The sequence below is a fragment of the Homo sapiens genome, chromosome 20, assembly GCF_000001405.40.
Source record: "Homo sapiens chromosome 20, GRCh38.p14 Primary Assembly".
In the NCBI taxonomy this organism is placed as follows: Eukaryota; Metazoa; Chordata; class Mammalia; order Primates; family Hominidae; genus Homo; species Homo sapiens.
Window position 1 is genome coordinate 25,364,484 of NC_000020.11, and position 16,471 is coordinate 25,380,954.

The 16,471-nt window shown below is 43.9% G+C and overlaps 1 protein-coding gene and 1 pseudogene across 6 annotated transcripts in view; both read right to left on the minus strand.

Moving 5' to 3' along the window:
* The window catches only part of ABHD12 (abhydrolase domain containing 12, lysophospholipase), a 96,093-nt gene that overhangs the window by 69,741 nt on the left and 9,881 nt on the right, over nt 1-16,471 (minus strand). The gene's annotated exons all lie outside the window — the stretch shown is intronic.
* On the minus strand, nt 3,584-4,325 carry PPIAP2 (peptidylprolyl isomerase A pseudogene 2; annotated as a pseudogene).

The following is a 16,471-nucleotide window of genomic DNA, read 5'->3' on the forward strand; positions in this document are numbered from 1 at the left end:
ACAGGAACTCAGAGTCAGAACTCACTCATTCCCATAAGAGTGGACCCAGCCATTCATAAGGAATCTTCCCCCTGGGTGACCCAGACACCTCCTACCTCCTGCCAGATCAAATTTCAACATGAGACTTGGCAGGGCCAAACAAACCATATCTAAACCATACCTAACGGCCTACAGAGCTATTTTGTTATATTTCCTGTTCCCAAAACATACGTCACTAAATTAAGATGACACATAGAAATGCAAATTAAACCATGAGGTTCCATTTTCACCTAAATCACTGGCAAAGAATAAGAATATAAGAATACTGACAATATCAAAAGAGTAACTCTGGGCAAACACTCTCACACCGCCAATGGGAGCTGCTCTCTGGCCCTCTGAAGAGGTGACCATACAGATCAGGGGCCCAAGTCCTGAGGTGGAGATGGCTAGGAGACCACCAAAACCTTGTACTGTCCCTTCCCTACGGAGTGTAGAGTTGGGCATGGGAATGGCTGCCTAGCTGGGGGCTACATTTCCCAGCTCAACATGGAGGCAGGTGTAGCCAGGTAAGTAGTTCTCACCTATGCAACGTGAGTAAGGCCTCATGTGGCTGGCTGCTGGTACAGCACCAAGTGTTATCCTAACTAATTCTTAAAGATTAATACTCTACATGCTCATTTTTGTTTCTAGCTTAACAATAGCTTTTTTGAAAAAGGTCATATGTTTACATAGTTCAAAAATTAAAACAAAGTCTCACTGCCAACTTGTCACCATGTATCCTGTCCCCATCATGCCCACAGATAAGCATTTTTATTTGCTACTTATTTATCCTTCCAGTGTTTCCTTACACAAATACAGGTGCATGTTCTCATTCCTTTTTCTCATAAAAAGGTAGTATTGTAAACTGTTTTACACCTTGATTTTTTTTTCTATCAACAAGATATCCAAGAAATTTCTCCACATCAATGCTTACCTATTTTACAGCTCCTAACTGGGTTGGCATAACATAGGTTATTAAGCCAGTTTCCCACTGCTGGACAATCAGGTGGTTTCCAGCAATCAGTGCTACAATGAATCACTCTGTACATACCTAATTTTGTATGTACAGATAGGACACTCTTAGAATGGAAATTACTGGATCAAAGAGTAAGTGCATCTATATTATTAAAAGATTATCCTCCCAAATCCTTGCTTCCCTCAGCCCTCACTAACAAAGTGGTTGTCAAAGATGCATTTTCTCCAATCTGATAGGTGAGAAATGGCATCTTGGTGTAGTTTTGACTTTCATTAATTAATAAAGTGTTCACCAGGTGCAGGGCCTCACACCTATAATCCCAGCAATTTGAGAGGCTGAGGTGGGAGGATTGCTTGAGGCCAGGAGTTCAAGACCAGCCTGGACAACATAGGTTTCTACAAAAAATTTAAACATTAGCTAAGCATGGTGGTGTGTGCCTATACTCCCAGCTACTCAGGAGGCTGAGTTGGGAGGACTGCTTGAGCCCGGGAGGTCAAGGCTGTAGTGAGCTGAGATCGCACCACTGCACTCCAGCCTGGCTGACATAGTAAGACCCTTAAAAATCAAATAAATATTGTTAATTCTTTCACATATTGAAGGGTTATATTTCCTTTTCAATGAATTATGCTATCTTTCGCATATTTTTCATTGGGCCTTGAACTTTTTTCTTTTCAATTCCTAGAAGTTCTTTATTATTACACCTCTTTACCTATGAGTTGCAAATATTTGTATTTTGTCATTATTTACATCATGCAAATTTTTTTCATATTACAAAGTCAAATTTATTCTAAGTCTTTTCTTTTCTTTTTTTTTTTAAGAAGGAGTTTCACTCTTGTTGCCCAGGCTGGAGTGCAATGGTGTGATCTCGGCTTACCGCAACCTCCACCTCCCAGGTTCTCCTGCCTCAGCCTCCCTAGTAGCTAGGATTACAGGCATGTGCCAACATGCCTGGCTAGTTTTGTATTTTTAGTAGAGATGGGGTTTCTCCATGTTGGTCAGGCTGGTCTCGAACTCCCGACCTCAGTTGATCCGCCTGCCTCAGCTTCCCAAAGTGCTGGGATTACAGGCATGAACCACTGCACCCATTTTTCTTTTCAGCCATCTTAATAGAATTTGGACTCTTGAGTTATAGTTAGAAAGCCCTCCTCCATTTCAAGACTTTAGAATTTCACTCCTGTTTTCTTCTAGTACTTCTTGGTTTCTTGTTTACAGAGTAAGATATGGATCCAGATTTATTTTATTTCAAATGGCTACCCAATTGTCCCAAAAACCTTTATTAACAATCAAAATCAACCTTGACTCCACTCAACTATTATTCCAACTTCACCTAAAACTAAATTCACAAGTGTATTTGGGTCTATTTGGGAATCTCTGTCCTGTCACACTGGCCTGTTATTCCTGAGCTGAGCACTGTAGCATGGACCAGACCCCACACACCTCTCTTCTTTTTCCAGAGGCTCATGGCACTTCTGTAGGTCATTTTTTTTCTTTTTTGAATATACCCTTGGTACGAGATCTCTGTATATTTTTTCATCTGAACTTCAGAATCAGCTTGTATTGAACAAGAGAGAAACGGATGGGCATTTTAAAATTTGGGATTCTGTTAGATGAATAATCTGAGGAATGTTTTTTGAATTTGTCTTCTCTTCCTTTATATCTTACAACCAACTACTGTTGTTTGTATACAAGAAAGCTACAGATTACAGCACACTAATTTTACATCTCTTTAATAGGGGATAGTGTGTCCATACACTGAGATGACATGTAGTCATTAAAAAACAAAGAATGAGTGTTCATACGGTGACATGGAGGGAGGGCTTACAGTTTTGTGGGAGGAGGGACCATTCATATTAAGAAAGGGGAAATGGGGGGCAGAGAATTTGCCACATATACTTCAGCAATTTAAGAAATTTTACACATTTTTCCAATTTTTTTACACGTAACAAAATTTACCATCATAACCATTTTCACGTGTACAGTTCAGTGGTAATATGTTCATATGTTCATACTGTTGTGTAATCACCACTACCATCCATCTCTGTAACTCTTTCCATCTGTAAAGCTGAAACTCTGTACCCATTAAACAGTAACTCCCATTCTCCATCCCCCAGCCCATGGCAACCACCCTTCCACTTTCTGCTACTAGTACCTTGACGACTCTAGTGCCTCACGTAAGTGGAATCATACAGTACTTGTCTTTTTGTGACTGGCTTACTTCATTTAGCATAATGTCTTCAAGGTTCATTCATGTTGTAGCATATTTCAGAAATTCTTTCCATTGTACAGATATACCACATTTTGCTTATCCATTCATCCATGGGTGGACATCTGGGTTGCTTCCATGTTTTAGCTATTGTGAATAGTGCTGCTATGAACATGGGTGTACAAATAAATGGCTCTTAGAGACCCTGTTTTCAATTATTTTTGGTAGATACCCAGAAGCGCAGCTGCTGCATTATACAGTAATTCTATGTTCAATTTTTAAAGAGACAGCCATATTGTTTTCCACAGTTTCTGTACCATTTTTATTCCCACTAACAGTGTGCAAGGGTTCCAATTTCTCATATCATTGCCAACATTTACTATTTTTTGTTATTTTGTTTTTATTCATAATCATAAACTTAACACTGCAATCCAGCTAGGCACGGAAGGGAACAAGGAAAACATGGAACCCAAAGGGAACTGCAGCAAGAGCACAAAGATTCTAGGATACTGAGAGCAAATGGGGTGGAGGGGTGCTCTCCTGAGCTACAGAAGGAATGGTCTGGTGGTTAAGATAAAACACAAGTCAAACTTATTAGAGTTGTTCACAGTCAGCAATGGTGATCTTCTTGCTGGTCTTGCCATTCCTGGAACCACAGCGCTCCATGGCCTCCACAATATTCTTGCCTTCTTTCGCCTTGCCACAGACCACATGCTTGCCATCCAACCACTCAGTCTTGGCAGTGCAGATGAAAAACTGGGAACCGTTTGTGTTGGGTCCAGCATTTGCCATGGACAAGATGCTAGGACCTGTATGCTTTAGGATGAAGTTTTCATCACCAAATTTCTCCCCGTAAATGGACTTGCCACCAGTGCCATTATGGGTGTGAAGTCACCACCCTGATACATAAACCCTGGAATAATTCTGTGAAAGCGGAAACCCTTAAAACCAAATCCTTTCTCGCCAGTGCTCAGAGCATGAAAGTTTTCTGCTGTCTTTGGAATCTTGTCTGCAAACAGGTTGAAGGAGACGCGGCCCAAGGGCTTGCCTTCGTCAGCAATGTTGAAGAACAGTGGGGTTGACCATGGCTGATAGTACAGGGCTCCCAGCGGCGGTGGCATCTGCAAAGCCTACTTTCTTTTAAAAAAATTATTAGCCATCCTCAGACAGGCGCAGTGGCTCATGCCTGTAATTCCAGTGCTTTGGGAGGCTGCGGCAGGATTGCTTAATTCATGAGTTTGGGACCAGCTTGGGCAACATATTTAGACCCTCTTTCTATCAAAAATTAAAAACCTAGCCAGGTGTAGTGGCATGCACCTATAGTCCCAGCTACTCGGGAGGCTGAAGTGGGAAGACCGCTTGAGCCAGGGAGATCAAGGGTAAGCCATGATTGCACCACTGTAGTCCAGCCTGGGTGACAGAGAAGGACCACATTTCAAAAGTAAAAAAAAAAAATTAGCCATCCTAATTGGTGTGAGGTGGTATCTCATTGTGGTTTTGATTTCCATTTCCCCAATGGATTAGTAATGTTGGGCATCTATTCATGTGCTTATAAGTCATCTATCCGTCTTTAGAGAAATGTCTCTTCGAGTTCTAGGCCCATTTTTGAATTGGTGTTTTGTTGCGGAGTTTTAAAATTTCTCTATATATTCTAGATAAAGTTAAAATGCAGCAACAGCTACCAAATCTAAGAGGCCTAAAGAACCACAGCTTATTTCTTCCTCTAGCTGTGGGTCCAGCACAGGTCAGCTGGAGTTCTACTAAACACATTACTCAGGAACCTGTCTTGCAGAAACTCCATCACTTTGCGACACTGCCACCTCCACACAAGGCTTTAGGGTTTGCTGCAGCAGGAGCAGAGGGCACGAAGGATCACGTACCTGCTCTTAACCACTTCTGCCTACCGAAGTGACACGTCACTTCCATTCAGATTGTGAGACCGCGTCTCAGTTCAAGAGGGTAAGATCCCAAACCAGGAGTGCCAGTGAGCACTGATGTTGTGTCCACAGGTTTAAATAGCTACACATGCATGCACAACACATTAAGTAAGCTATTTTATAACTTCACACTGGAAAAACTTGCTCTTTAAAGGAGCTCTGGCCAGGCATGGTGGCTCGCCCCTGTAATGCCAGCACTCTGCTGTAATGCAGCACTCTGTGGGGGCTGAGGCGAGAGGATTGCATAAGGCCAGGAGAATGAGACCAGTGTGGGCAGCACAGCAAGACCCTGTTTCTCTGTCTCTGTTATAAAAAAAAAAAAAAAAAAAAAAGCCCTTTGTAGATTTTTTGTTAACAAAGGACACTTTTAGATATAAGTGGGTCCTTGCCCTTTGTTTTTTCCTATCTGGAAAGACTGGGCTTCCAGGTTATTTTCTTAAAGAAATGCACAAAACCACTGCGGGAATTCCTACTTAAATTGATTACAGTGGACCCAAACACACTCATCCTTCAAAGCTTTCAATGCCTTGGGGCGCTGACTGTGGGGGGTCCCCTTGAGTCACAGTGATGCATCAGATCTCTCATGCATCCCAGTGATTACTGGGGTACACAGGTCTCCCTGGAGGTCTTGCTTCCCTACTCCCTCAGCTGGCACCCAGAGCTTCCCAGTCACAACCAAAGCACTGGAGGTTGAAGGTGCCAAGACAATAAGGGGGCCACAGAGAAGGTCACCAACTCCAAGAGAAGGCTCTGTGGAAGACTCAGAGGCCACCAACTCCAAGAAAAGACTTCTGTGCCCTCAGAAGCCCACCCCTCAGGCACAGCCGCAGAGTCACCAATGCTGTCAGAGAAGGAAAGCAATATGCTGATGAATAAACTATTTCTCTCAAGTGACACTGGCTCAATATTTTCAACCCATAATAATTTCCCCTTGTAATAGTCAGGATGTATAAGAGAGACAGCCCTAAGCAGGGGCAGGAGAGCACAGCGATTAGAGCATGAGTAGTGGAGATGGCAGGTCTGCCACTTGGATGGGTGTGCGACCCTGGGCAAGCTACTTAACCATCCATGCCTTGGCTTCCTCATCTGTGAAGAGGGCGACCCACCAATCTCATGAGGCAGCTGTGAGCATTCCATGAATTCACACACGTAAAGCGCTTAAGGAAACGGTATCTGGTACACAGTTCTCAATCAATGTTATTTTTATTAATTCTTCTTGTGCCTTTATTGACTTTTTTTTTTTTTTTTGGTAGAGACAGGTTTCACCATGTTTCCTAGGCTGGTCTCAAACTCCTGAGCTCAAGCAATCCTCCTTCCTCAGCCTCCCAAAGTACTGGGATTACAGGTGTGAGCCACACACCAGGCCCTTCACCATTTATTTTTAATTGTTCTGCCTCTACTGTTCTACTTCCTCTTCCTTCCCTCCCATCATGAGCAAGCTGCAACTTACCAGAAGCTATTTCTGAAAGACACTGGGGAGTCCAGGAAGAACGAGAGTGATCAGCTAATTAGGAAGATTCCTACTTTAAAGGAGAGACCACAGACTGAGACACTGGACTGGTGGTCACGGTTCCTACACAAAAGGCCCCCAAGGAGTGTCTATGTCCCCTCTCGTCCCCATGGGCAATGCCTACATTGGGGTGTGGGACACTGGTACCAAGCCGCTCTATCAGGATGGTAGCCCTGCACTGGATTTCACTGTGGCTGGCCCTTAGAACACTGTTTACAACCTGGAGGCAGCAGCAGGCTCTAATGCACAGAAATGCCTGATTTTTTAAAAACCAAAACACCTGGTTATAAAACGCTTAGTAACCATCTTGACTGCTTCATCTTCAACCCTATTCATCTCTCTTCAGAAGTGATTCCTCCCAACATAACCCTCCCCGCTTCCTGACACTCCCCAAAGAACTGGTTCCTAGATTTTTGTTTCATGAACTAATAAAATGTTCTATAAAATGGGGACTGACCTAATATTGCCGGGTTTTTATTTTGCCAAGTAAGGATCTCAGAAACTTGATAGAAAGGCCACTGTCTCAGGGTTCAATCATTATACAAAGTTAGCTTCATGCCAGTTCTCTACATTTATTTTCTCATTTCCCTTCCTCACAGTAAAAAAGTAGTCCAAAATACTGTGGATCCCAAGCTGGTCTCGAACTCCTTGGACTCAAGTGACCTGCCTGCCCCAGTCTCCCAAACTGCTGGGCTTGCAGGCATAAGCCACAGTGCCTGGTCCCCTAGATTTTTAATGTGAAAGCTAAAGTCATCAATTGAAGATCTTTCTTTTTTACTATAGGCATTCAGTGCTATATTTTCACTTTCCTCAAGCATGCTTTCGGGGCATACGTGTGTCTTCCTTTTCATTCCATGTGAGCTACTTTGTAATTTCACTTGTTGTTTTTTTAGAGAGGGGATCTTTCTCTGTCACCTAGGCTGGAGTGCAGTGGCATGCTCATAGCTCTCTGAAGCCCCAAATTCCTGGGTTCAAGCGATCCCACCATCTTGATCTCCCAAAGTGCTGGGATTATAGGTATGAGCCAGCACACCTGGGTGTTAACATTTCTTAAAGCATGGGTCTGCTGATGATGAATTATCTCAGCCTCTTCTTTTTTTTTTTTTAAGAAACAAGATCTTACTCTGTCACCTGCGCTTAAGTGCAGTCTCCACCTCCTGGCCTTAAGTGATCCTCCTGCCTCCCAAGTAGCTAGGACCACAGGTGCACACCACCATGCTCAGCTAATCTTTGACTTTTCGTAAAGATGGAGTCTATAAAACATAGCCAGTTTGGCTATGTTTCCCAGGCTGGACTGGAACTCCTGGGCTCAAGTGATCCTTCCATCTTGGCCTCCCAAAGTGTTTGGATTACAGGCGTGAGCCACCACACCTGGCCCTCTTTCAGCTTTTTTATATCTGAAAACTTCACTATTTTGCCTTTGAAGATATTTGGGGTGGGAGGAATGACAACATAAAAAGTTATTTTCACCTGGTCAAGAATTTTGGACGGATAGCTTTTTCTTTCAGTACAGTCATGCAAACTGCATAATAGCATTTCAGCCAACAGTGGACCACTTATACAATGGTTGTCCCATATGATTATAATAGAACTAAAAAATTCCTATTGCCTAATGTCATGGCTGTAGCGTCACAGTGAAAAGCATTACTCACATTTGTGGTGATGTGGTATAAACAAACCACTGCAAGTTGTATAAAAATGTATATTCATGTCCTAAGCCTTCACATTCACTCACCACTCACTCACTGACTCACCCAGAGCAACCTCCAGTCCTGCAGGCTCCAATCATGGTAAGTGCCCTATACTGTACTGTTTTTTATCTTTTATATTGTATTTTCACTGTACCTTTTCTATGTGTAGATACACAAATACTTAACATTGTGTCACAACTGCCTACAGGACTCAGTACAGTATCATGCTGTGCAGGTTTGCAGCCTAGGAGCAATAGGCCTTACCACATAGCCCAGGCGTGTAATAGGCCGTACCATCTATGTTTGTGTAAATACACTCTGATCTTCGCGTGACAATGCACTTGCCTAACACCACATTGCTCAGAAGGTGTACCTGTTATTGAGTGACATTACTATATTGAGTGACATTACTACATGGCATGACAGCGTCAAAGATGTTGCTTCAAGGCCAGGCGCAGTGACTCAAACCTGTAATCCCAGCATTTTGGGAAGCCGGGGCGGGTGGATCACCTGAGGTCAGGAGTTCAAGACCGGCCTGGCCAACATGGTAAAACTCTGTATCTACTAAAAATACAAAAATCAGCCGGGTGTGGTGGCGGGCACCTGTAATCCTGGCTACTTGGGGGGCTGAGGCAGGAGAATTGCTTGAATCCGGAAGATGAAGGTTGCAGTGAGCAGAGATTGTGCCACTGTGCTCCAGCCTGGGATACAGACTGAGACACCGTCTCAAAAAAAAAAATTAAAAAAATAAAGACGTTGCTTCACTGAATTCTTACTTACTTTTCTTTTAAGAAAACTTCTTTGCCCATATCTTTGTTCCTGTGTGCACAGTATGTCTTTTTTCCTCTGGTTGGTTTGAAGGTTTTTTTTTTCTTTATCACTGATTTTGAGCAATTTGATTACGAAGTGCCTTGGTATACTGCTTCATGTTTCTTATGCAGGAGATTAATTAAGCTTCTTAGCAGTGGGTTTACAGTTTTCACCAAGCTTGTAAAGTTTCTGGCCACTATTTCTTCAAATATTTTTTCTCTCCTTTCTCCTCTTCTTTGAGGACTTTAATTATCAGTATAATAGGCTACCTGAAGTTGTCCCATAGCATAGTGATGCATTTATTTATTTATTTATTGACAGGGTCTCACTCTGTTGCCCAGACCAGAGTGTAGTGGCTTGATCATGGCTCATGCAGTCTTGACCTCCCAGGCTCAAGCAATCCTCCCACCTTAGCCTCCCAATTAGTTGTAATCAAAGGCATGCACACCACGCCTGGCTAATTGTTCAATTTTTTTCTTTTTTGATGAGGTCTCCCTTTGTTGCCCAGGCTGGTCTCAGATTCCTGGGCTCAAGTGATCCTCCTTCTTTATCCTCCCAAAGTGCTAGGATTACAGGTGTGCTGGGATTACACACATGGTCGGAGTACAGGTGTGTGCCACCACACCTGGCCTAGTAATGATGCTTTTGAAAATCTGTTTGGTTCTCTTTTCCCCAGGTTTCATGTTGAATAGTTGAGCTCTTTCTTTAGCAGTGTTTAATCTGCCCTTCAATGTAATTCCCTTCAGTGTAAACTTTACCTCACACATTATGGTTTTCATCTTCAGAAATTCAATTTGGGTAATTTTCAGATTTTCCATGACTCTCCACTTAACTTCTAGAACATATGGAATACAATTACAGTAAGTTTGTTTGTTTGTTTTTGAGATGGAATTTCGCTCTTGTTGCCCAGGCTGGAGTGCAGTGGCACGATCTCAGCTCACTGCAACCTCCGCCTCCCAGGTTCAAGTGATTCTCCTGCCTCAGCCTCCCGAGTAGCTGGGATTACAGGCATGTGCCACCACACCCGGCTAATTTTGTAATTTTAGTAGAGACAGGACACAGGGTTTCTCCATGTTGGTCAGGCTGGTCTCAAACTCCTTACCTCAGGTGATCCTCCCGCCTCGGCCTCCCAAAGTGCTGGGATTACAGGTGTGAGCCACCACGCCCAGCCTACAGTGTTTTAATGTGCTTCTCTTCAACACTAACGTGCGTGTCAGTACTCAGTCGGTTTTCATTGATTATTCTCTTCATTATATACACATCATAGTTTCCTCCCACTCTGCATGCCTGTGCTATGGGCTGAATAATGTCCCCTCAAAATTTGTATGTTGAAGTCTTAACCCCTAGCACTTCAGAATATGACTGTATTTAGAGAGAGGGTCTTAAGGAGGTAATTATGCTAAAATGAGGTCATCAGGGTGGACCCTAATCCACTATGACTCAGCTTTGTAAGAAGAAATGCAGAAAGAGCCACACACAGAGGTTAGACCATATGAAGACACATGGAGAAGGTGGTCATCTACAGGCAAAGCAGAGGGGCCTCATGAGAAACCAGCCCTGCTGACACCTCCATCTTGGACTTCTGGCCTCTGGAATCGAGAGAAAATAAACTTCTGCCATTTAAGTCACCTGGTCTGTGTTACTTTGTTATGGTAGCCCTCACAAACCCATACACCTGGAATTTCCCACTACTGAAGCATGCTGTTCCTGAATGTTCTACCAGTAAATTATAATCTTGCTCTAAGTAGCAGGGACTGTATCTTCTGATCTTTTCAGACAGTTCTTTCCCCAGCCACAGAGAGTTTCCTCACACACGTGTGCTGATCAAGGGGACCCTCTGCAGACCCCAGGGTCTCTCTCTGTGTTGCTCTCTCCTCTCTGGTACTCTGTCCTATAAACTCTAGCCACATTGGTCTCTCCAGATTCTCAGCTCCACACCCACAACCCTGGGAGTCCACGTGGCTCCCCTCCCTGTGCCATGGCGTGGAAGCTCTCTCAAGGAGATCAGCTAGGGTACTGTAGGGCTCACTTCCTTTGTCTGTCACTTCTCCGAGTTTACTGTCCTTTGTTGCTTGGTGCCCAGTGTTTTAAAAATTGTTTCGTGTATGTTGTCGTTTTTGTTGTGGCTGCTATTTGGGTTATTTCCGGGTAAATTCAGCCACCTTGGTCAGTAGTGGAAGTTCTATGTTTCTTTTAAAATATGTCTATAATTAGCTGGGTGCAGTGGCTCACACCTGTAATCCCAGCACTTTGGGAGGCCAAGGCAGGTGGATCACGAGGTCAGGAGATCGAGACCATCCTGGCTAACACGGTGAAACCCCGTCTCTACTAAAAATACAAAAATATTAGCTGGGCGTGGTGGTGGGCGCCTGTAGTCCCAGCCACTTGGGAGGCTGAGGCAGGAGAATGGCATGAGCTGGGAGGCGGAGATTGTAGTGAGCCCAGATCGCACCACTGCACTCCAGCCTGGGCGACAGAGTGAGACTCTGTCTCAAAAAATAATAATAATAATAATAATGTCTACAATTAGTTTTCATCAACTCCTTCATTAATGTAACCATCAAAATTGTTGAGGAAAAGTGTTTTATCATTTAATTCCATGGTATTCTCTTAGAAGGAACAAGAGAGTAACGCCAAATCTCATTCCCCAAGACTAACAGATTAAATTCTTCTTAGCTTTTAGGCGGAAATCTTAACAACAATCTCCATAATCATATTCAAAAGCAGTCAGTGTTGAGAGCAATTTCACTCTACTGAATTGAAAACTTTAAGGCCTTAATAAAACACACAAGAGCAGTCCATAAATGTCTCTTTGTTCCCAAAGAAGAAAACAAAAAATCATGAGGATTCAGTCGGCAGAACTGAACAACTGGGTATCCTACTGTGAGAAGGCCTTATTTTCCTGGCAGAAACAAAAATATTTCACCACTGTGGTACGGCATGTTTTCAGGTGCTTTACACACAGCCACATAACCTTACCTTGCTTTATTTTTCTTTATAGCACTTTATCACCCTTTGAAATTTTACTGTATACTTATGTGCTATCTTTGTTGCCGTGTTTCTCCTTCATGAGAACAGAAGTCCCACAAGGACTGGGATTTGTCCCACTCTTGTGCAGCATTTTATCCACTCTAGCCTTCAGTGAAGGCTAGGTCAACGAAAAAGACATACTTGCTAAATGGATGGAAGAACACAGGAGCAATACTCTCAACACAGGCCACACTGTTCACAGCAATTATCCAGAGGGAGTTTCACTTTCTCTGTTTTAAATTTTTATTAAGAACTCTTTATTACTTTGGAATCAGAAAAAAAAATCAAACTGTTTGAGAGAGGAACAGAGTGAGAGAGAGAGGGCCCCTCAGAGGCCGCCCTTCACCACAGCTATGACATCTCCCAGGCGACCTCATACCTGGAGATGCTTCCCTGGGCCCTGGCAGAATCTCCTTCAGCTTTTTCCTGAGGCTCTGGGGCTGCACTGGCAGCCTCCCAGCTGGCCTGTACTGGCCTAACAGTCCCTTCCTCCTGGAACCCTAAGCCAGATATTGAATGTCCTAGAATGGCAGTCTTTTTTGCTTGCCTTCTTGTAGGTTATGCCATGATGTGCCTTGTCAAGGTGTCCTGTGTCCCCAAACTGAGAATTTTTCTCATGTCTTTAGATGGCTCTATTGGCCAGCAATGCATTTTGCATTACATCCTGTCAAGCAAGAGGCTAAGAGACCTATTCTTAGTCAGTTTTTTGTTTCTATAATTAAATAACTGAGGTCAGTAATTTATAAAGAAGGAAATTTATTTCTTAGCATTCTGGAGGCTGGGAAGTCCAAGGTCAAGGGGCCATATCTGGTGAGGACCTTCTTGCTGGTGGGGACTCCGAAGAGTCCCAAGGTGGCTCAGGGCATCACATGGTAATGGGGATCAGAGGAGATGGCCACACTGCCTTTTACAACAGTGATAACTCTCATGATAACTAACCCAAACCCTCAATAAACCATTAATCTATGAATGGATTCATCCACTCATGAGAGCAAAGCCCTCATGACCCAATCACCTCCCAAAGGTCCCACCTCTAGTTTTTTTGTTTGTTTGTTTTGAGATGGAATCTTGCTCTGTCACCCAGGCTGGAGTACAGTGGCGTGATCTCGGCTCACTGCAACTTCTGCCTTCCAGGTTCAAGCGATTCTCCTGCCTCAGCCTCCCAAGTAGCTGGGATTACAGGCGTGTGCCACCACACCCAGCTAATTTTTGTATTTTTAGGATAGACGGGGTTTCACCATGTTGGCCAGGATGGTCTTGATCTCTTGATCTCGTGTTCCGCCCACCTCAGCCTCCCAAAGTGCTGGGATGACAGGCGTGGGCCACCGCGTCCGGCCAGGTCCCACTTCTTATATGTAGTTAGTACTACATTGAGGACCAAGATTCCAATACTTTCCAACACATGAAATTTTCGGGGACACATTTAAACCATTAAACCATCAAGCCATAGCAGATACCCTGAAGATAAATCAGTACATAAAAATGTCAGAGCAACACAGGAGTCTTTAAGAAAGGATAAATGTGAATGAAGGTAGACTAACCTTCTCCAGCCATCCCTGTATTTTCTCTTTGCCAAAGGCATCATCAAAGCCTGAGTATGCAAGAGCTGATGGTTGCCAAGCATAAAACATGACAGACAACTAGCTCCCTGAGGACAGGTACTATCTCCTTGTATCCCCAGGGCCTGGCACAACATCTGGCAAACAGCAGGAATACAGTAGCTACTGAATAAAATGACCTATGGGCACTTGGCATTGACAGGGCCACTTTCAGGTAGGAGCAATGTGGTTATCCAGGACCAGGAGTGGCAAAGGTCAAGGATGAAGGGGTAGGGCATATATGATGTACACATTATGAGGAGAAAAAAATAGTTGAAAGTTAAAAGCCATATCTATTCTAGTGATCTGAACTACCACATCAAAATGACCGGCATTGACCCTGAACATTCTTACCTTCCCATTACGAACAGTTCAGTCAATATACCCCAAGCTTTGTTTGAAGACTCCACCAGCCTGATAAGAACTGAAGATAATTTGAACTTTTTTTTTTTTTTTTTTTTACCATGAAGCTCAGGACAACTTCAGGCTTCAAGAACAAACCCTAAGTTTCAGCACCCCTGAGGTATGCGTGTATTCCCTCACTGACAGCCGTGTCCACGTTCACCTTTACAAACCCAAAAGTCCTGGCTTTCTCAGCCTTTCCCACACCAACACCCATCTGCCCTCTGCTCTCATTATGTCAGGACATTTTCTTATCCGCTAAACTTATCACAAGTGAATGAGGCAACTCAGCCCACAACTACCATATGAAGATTAATTCTATTTAACAATGAAGACACTTAGCAATCTGTGTACCAGCAAGCCCTGGGGGCCGAGAGTTCTGCCTGGTCCCACCTGATCACTCTGTCATGACCTCAGTTCATGTGAACCTTTCGCCCACCTTCGTCTCAAACCCAGCCCTGAGACCCTCCATGCTGGGATGTGTGCAGGGACCCCGTGCAGGCTTCCCAGAGCAGGGGAGCACTCAACTATGCAGAACATGTCAACTCCACAGATACACAGCAGGTCGTGACTGAAATGACTTCCCAAGGGAACTGTCCTTGTCATCCTTTTTAAAAACATTAAATGTCAGAAAGACGATATGAGAGCTCAGACTGCGCCCACGTGGGGAACTGAGAGAGAGAGGCCCAGTACCTCCTTTTCCCTCTGCCCTCCTAGCAGATGGCCTTGCTGCTTATTTCCTAAGGACAGCACAAGCACTCAGAAGAGAACTGGCAGATTCCTTCACCCACAAATAGATCAACTTACCCATGTCTTTCCCCACAGCCTTGGCCTTCCTTCCTATCTGAGGGGAACTCCTCTGCTCAGCCTCAGAACACTGGGTCCCATCCCTTCTCACAGGCCCAGAGACATCACTGCACCTACTCTGTCCCATGCCGTCCATCTTCTCCTCTCCCCTGGATTATTCCCATGCACACTCCAGACTGCTCTAATATTGCACAATTATGATATCATAATTATCAATATAATAGGCTGCTTGAAGTTATCCTATAGCATAGTGATGCTTTTATTTATTTATATATTTTTTTGAGACAGGGTGTCACTCTGTTGCCCAGACCAGAGTGCAGTGGCTTGATCATGGCTCACACAGTCTTGACCTCCCGGGCTCAAGCAATCATGCACGCCATGCCTGGCTAATTCTTTTTTTTTTTGGTCTAGATGAGGTCTCCCTTCATTGCCCAGGCTGGTCTCAGATTCCTGGGCTCAAGTGATCCTCCTTCTTTATCCTCCCAAAGTGCTAGGATTACAGGTATGCTGGGATTACAGGCATGGCAGGAGTACAGGTGTGTGCCACCGCACCTGGCCTTGTAACGATGCTTTTGAAAATTTGTTTGGTTCTCTTTTCCCCAGGTTTCACATTGAATAGTTGAGCCCTTTCTTTAGCAGTGTTTAATCTGCCCTTCAGTGTAATTCCCTTCAGTGTAACCTTTATCTCACACATTGTGGTTTTCATCTTTAGAAATTCCATTTCAGTAATTTTCAGGTTTTCCATAACTCCACTTAACTTCTGGAACACATGGAATACAATTACCATTGAGTGGTTTCTTTTGTTGTTTTTTTGAGATGGAGTTTCGCTCTTGTTGCCCAGGCTGGAATGCAATGGCGCGATTTTGGCTAATATATCACATAACTATCATAATATCATAATTATCAATATAGTGGGCTGCCTGAAGTTGTCCTATGGCATAGTGATGCTTTTATTATTTATTTATTTTTTGATATCTAATATCACTGCTAAGAAAACTCACCCCCTCCAGCCATCCCTCCCTGTCTTTCCCCCTTTACTGCACAGCTCCCTGGAAAAGCTACCTGCATTTCCTCTCTCCACTTCTTCCTTGAGCCCTCACCATTAGGCTTTTGCTCCCACCACTGCAGTAAGCCACTCCTGTCAATACTGATCTCGTGTCACCAAATCCAATTGCAGATCAGGCTTTCTTCTGCAACAGGCCTTCTTTAGGTGGCTGCCTTGACACCTTTTCCCAGCAATCCTTCTAACTCATTGCCCAGGTCCTGACTCCTCTGTCCTGACTTGTCTGCTGGGAGAGTCTGCTGCAAGGGTCTAGGTACCACCTGTCACAGCCATGGTCAGGTACAGGCCCTAACCTCCCCCTTGAACTCTATCCCCTATCCACCTGGATGTTTAACAGGCACCTCAATATGTCCAAAACCAAACATTACTTCTCCTGCCCCAAAGCACTTGCTCTTTCCACATCTGTCCCCATCTCAGTATCTGGCA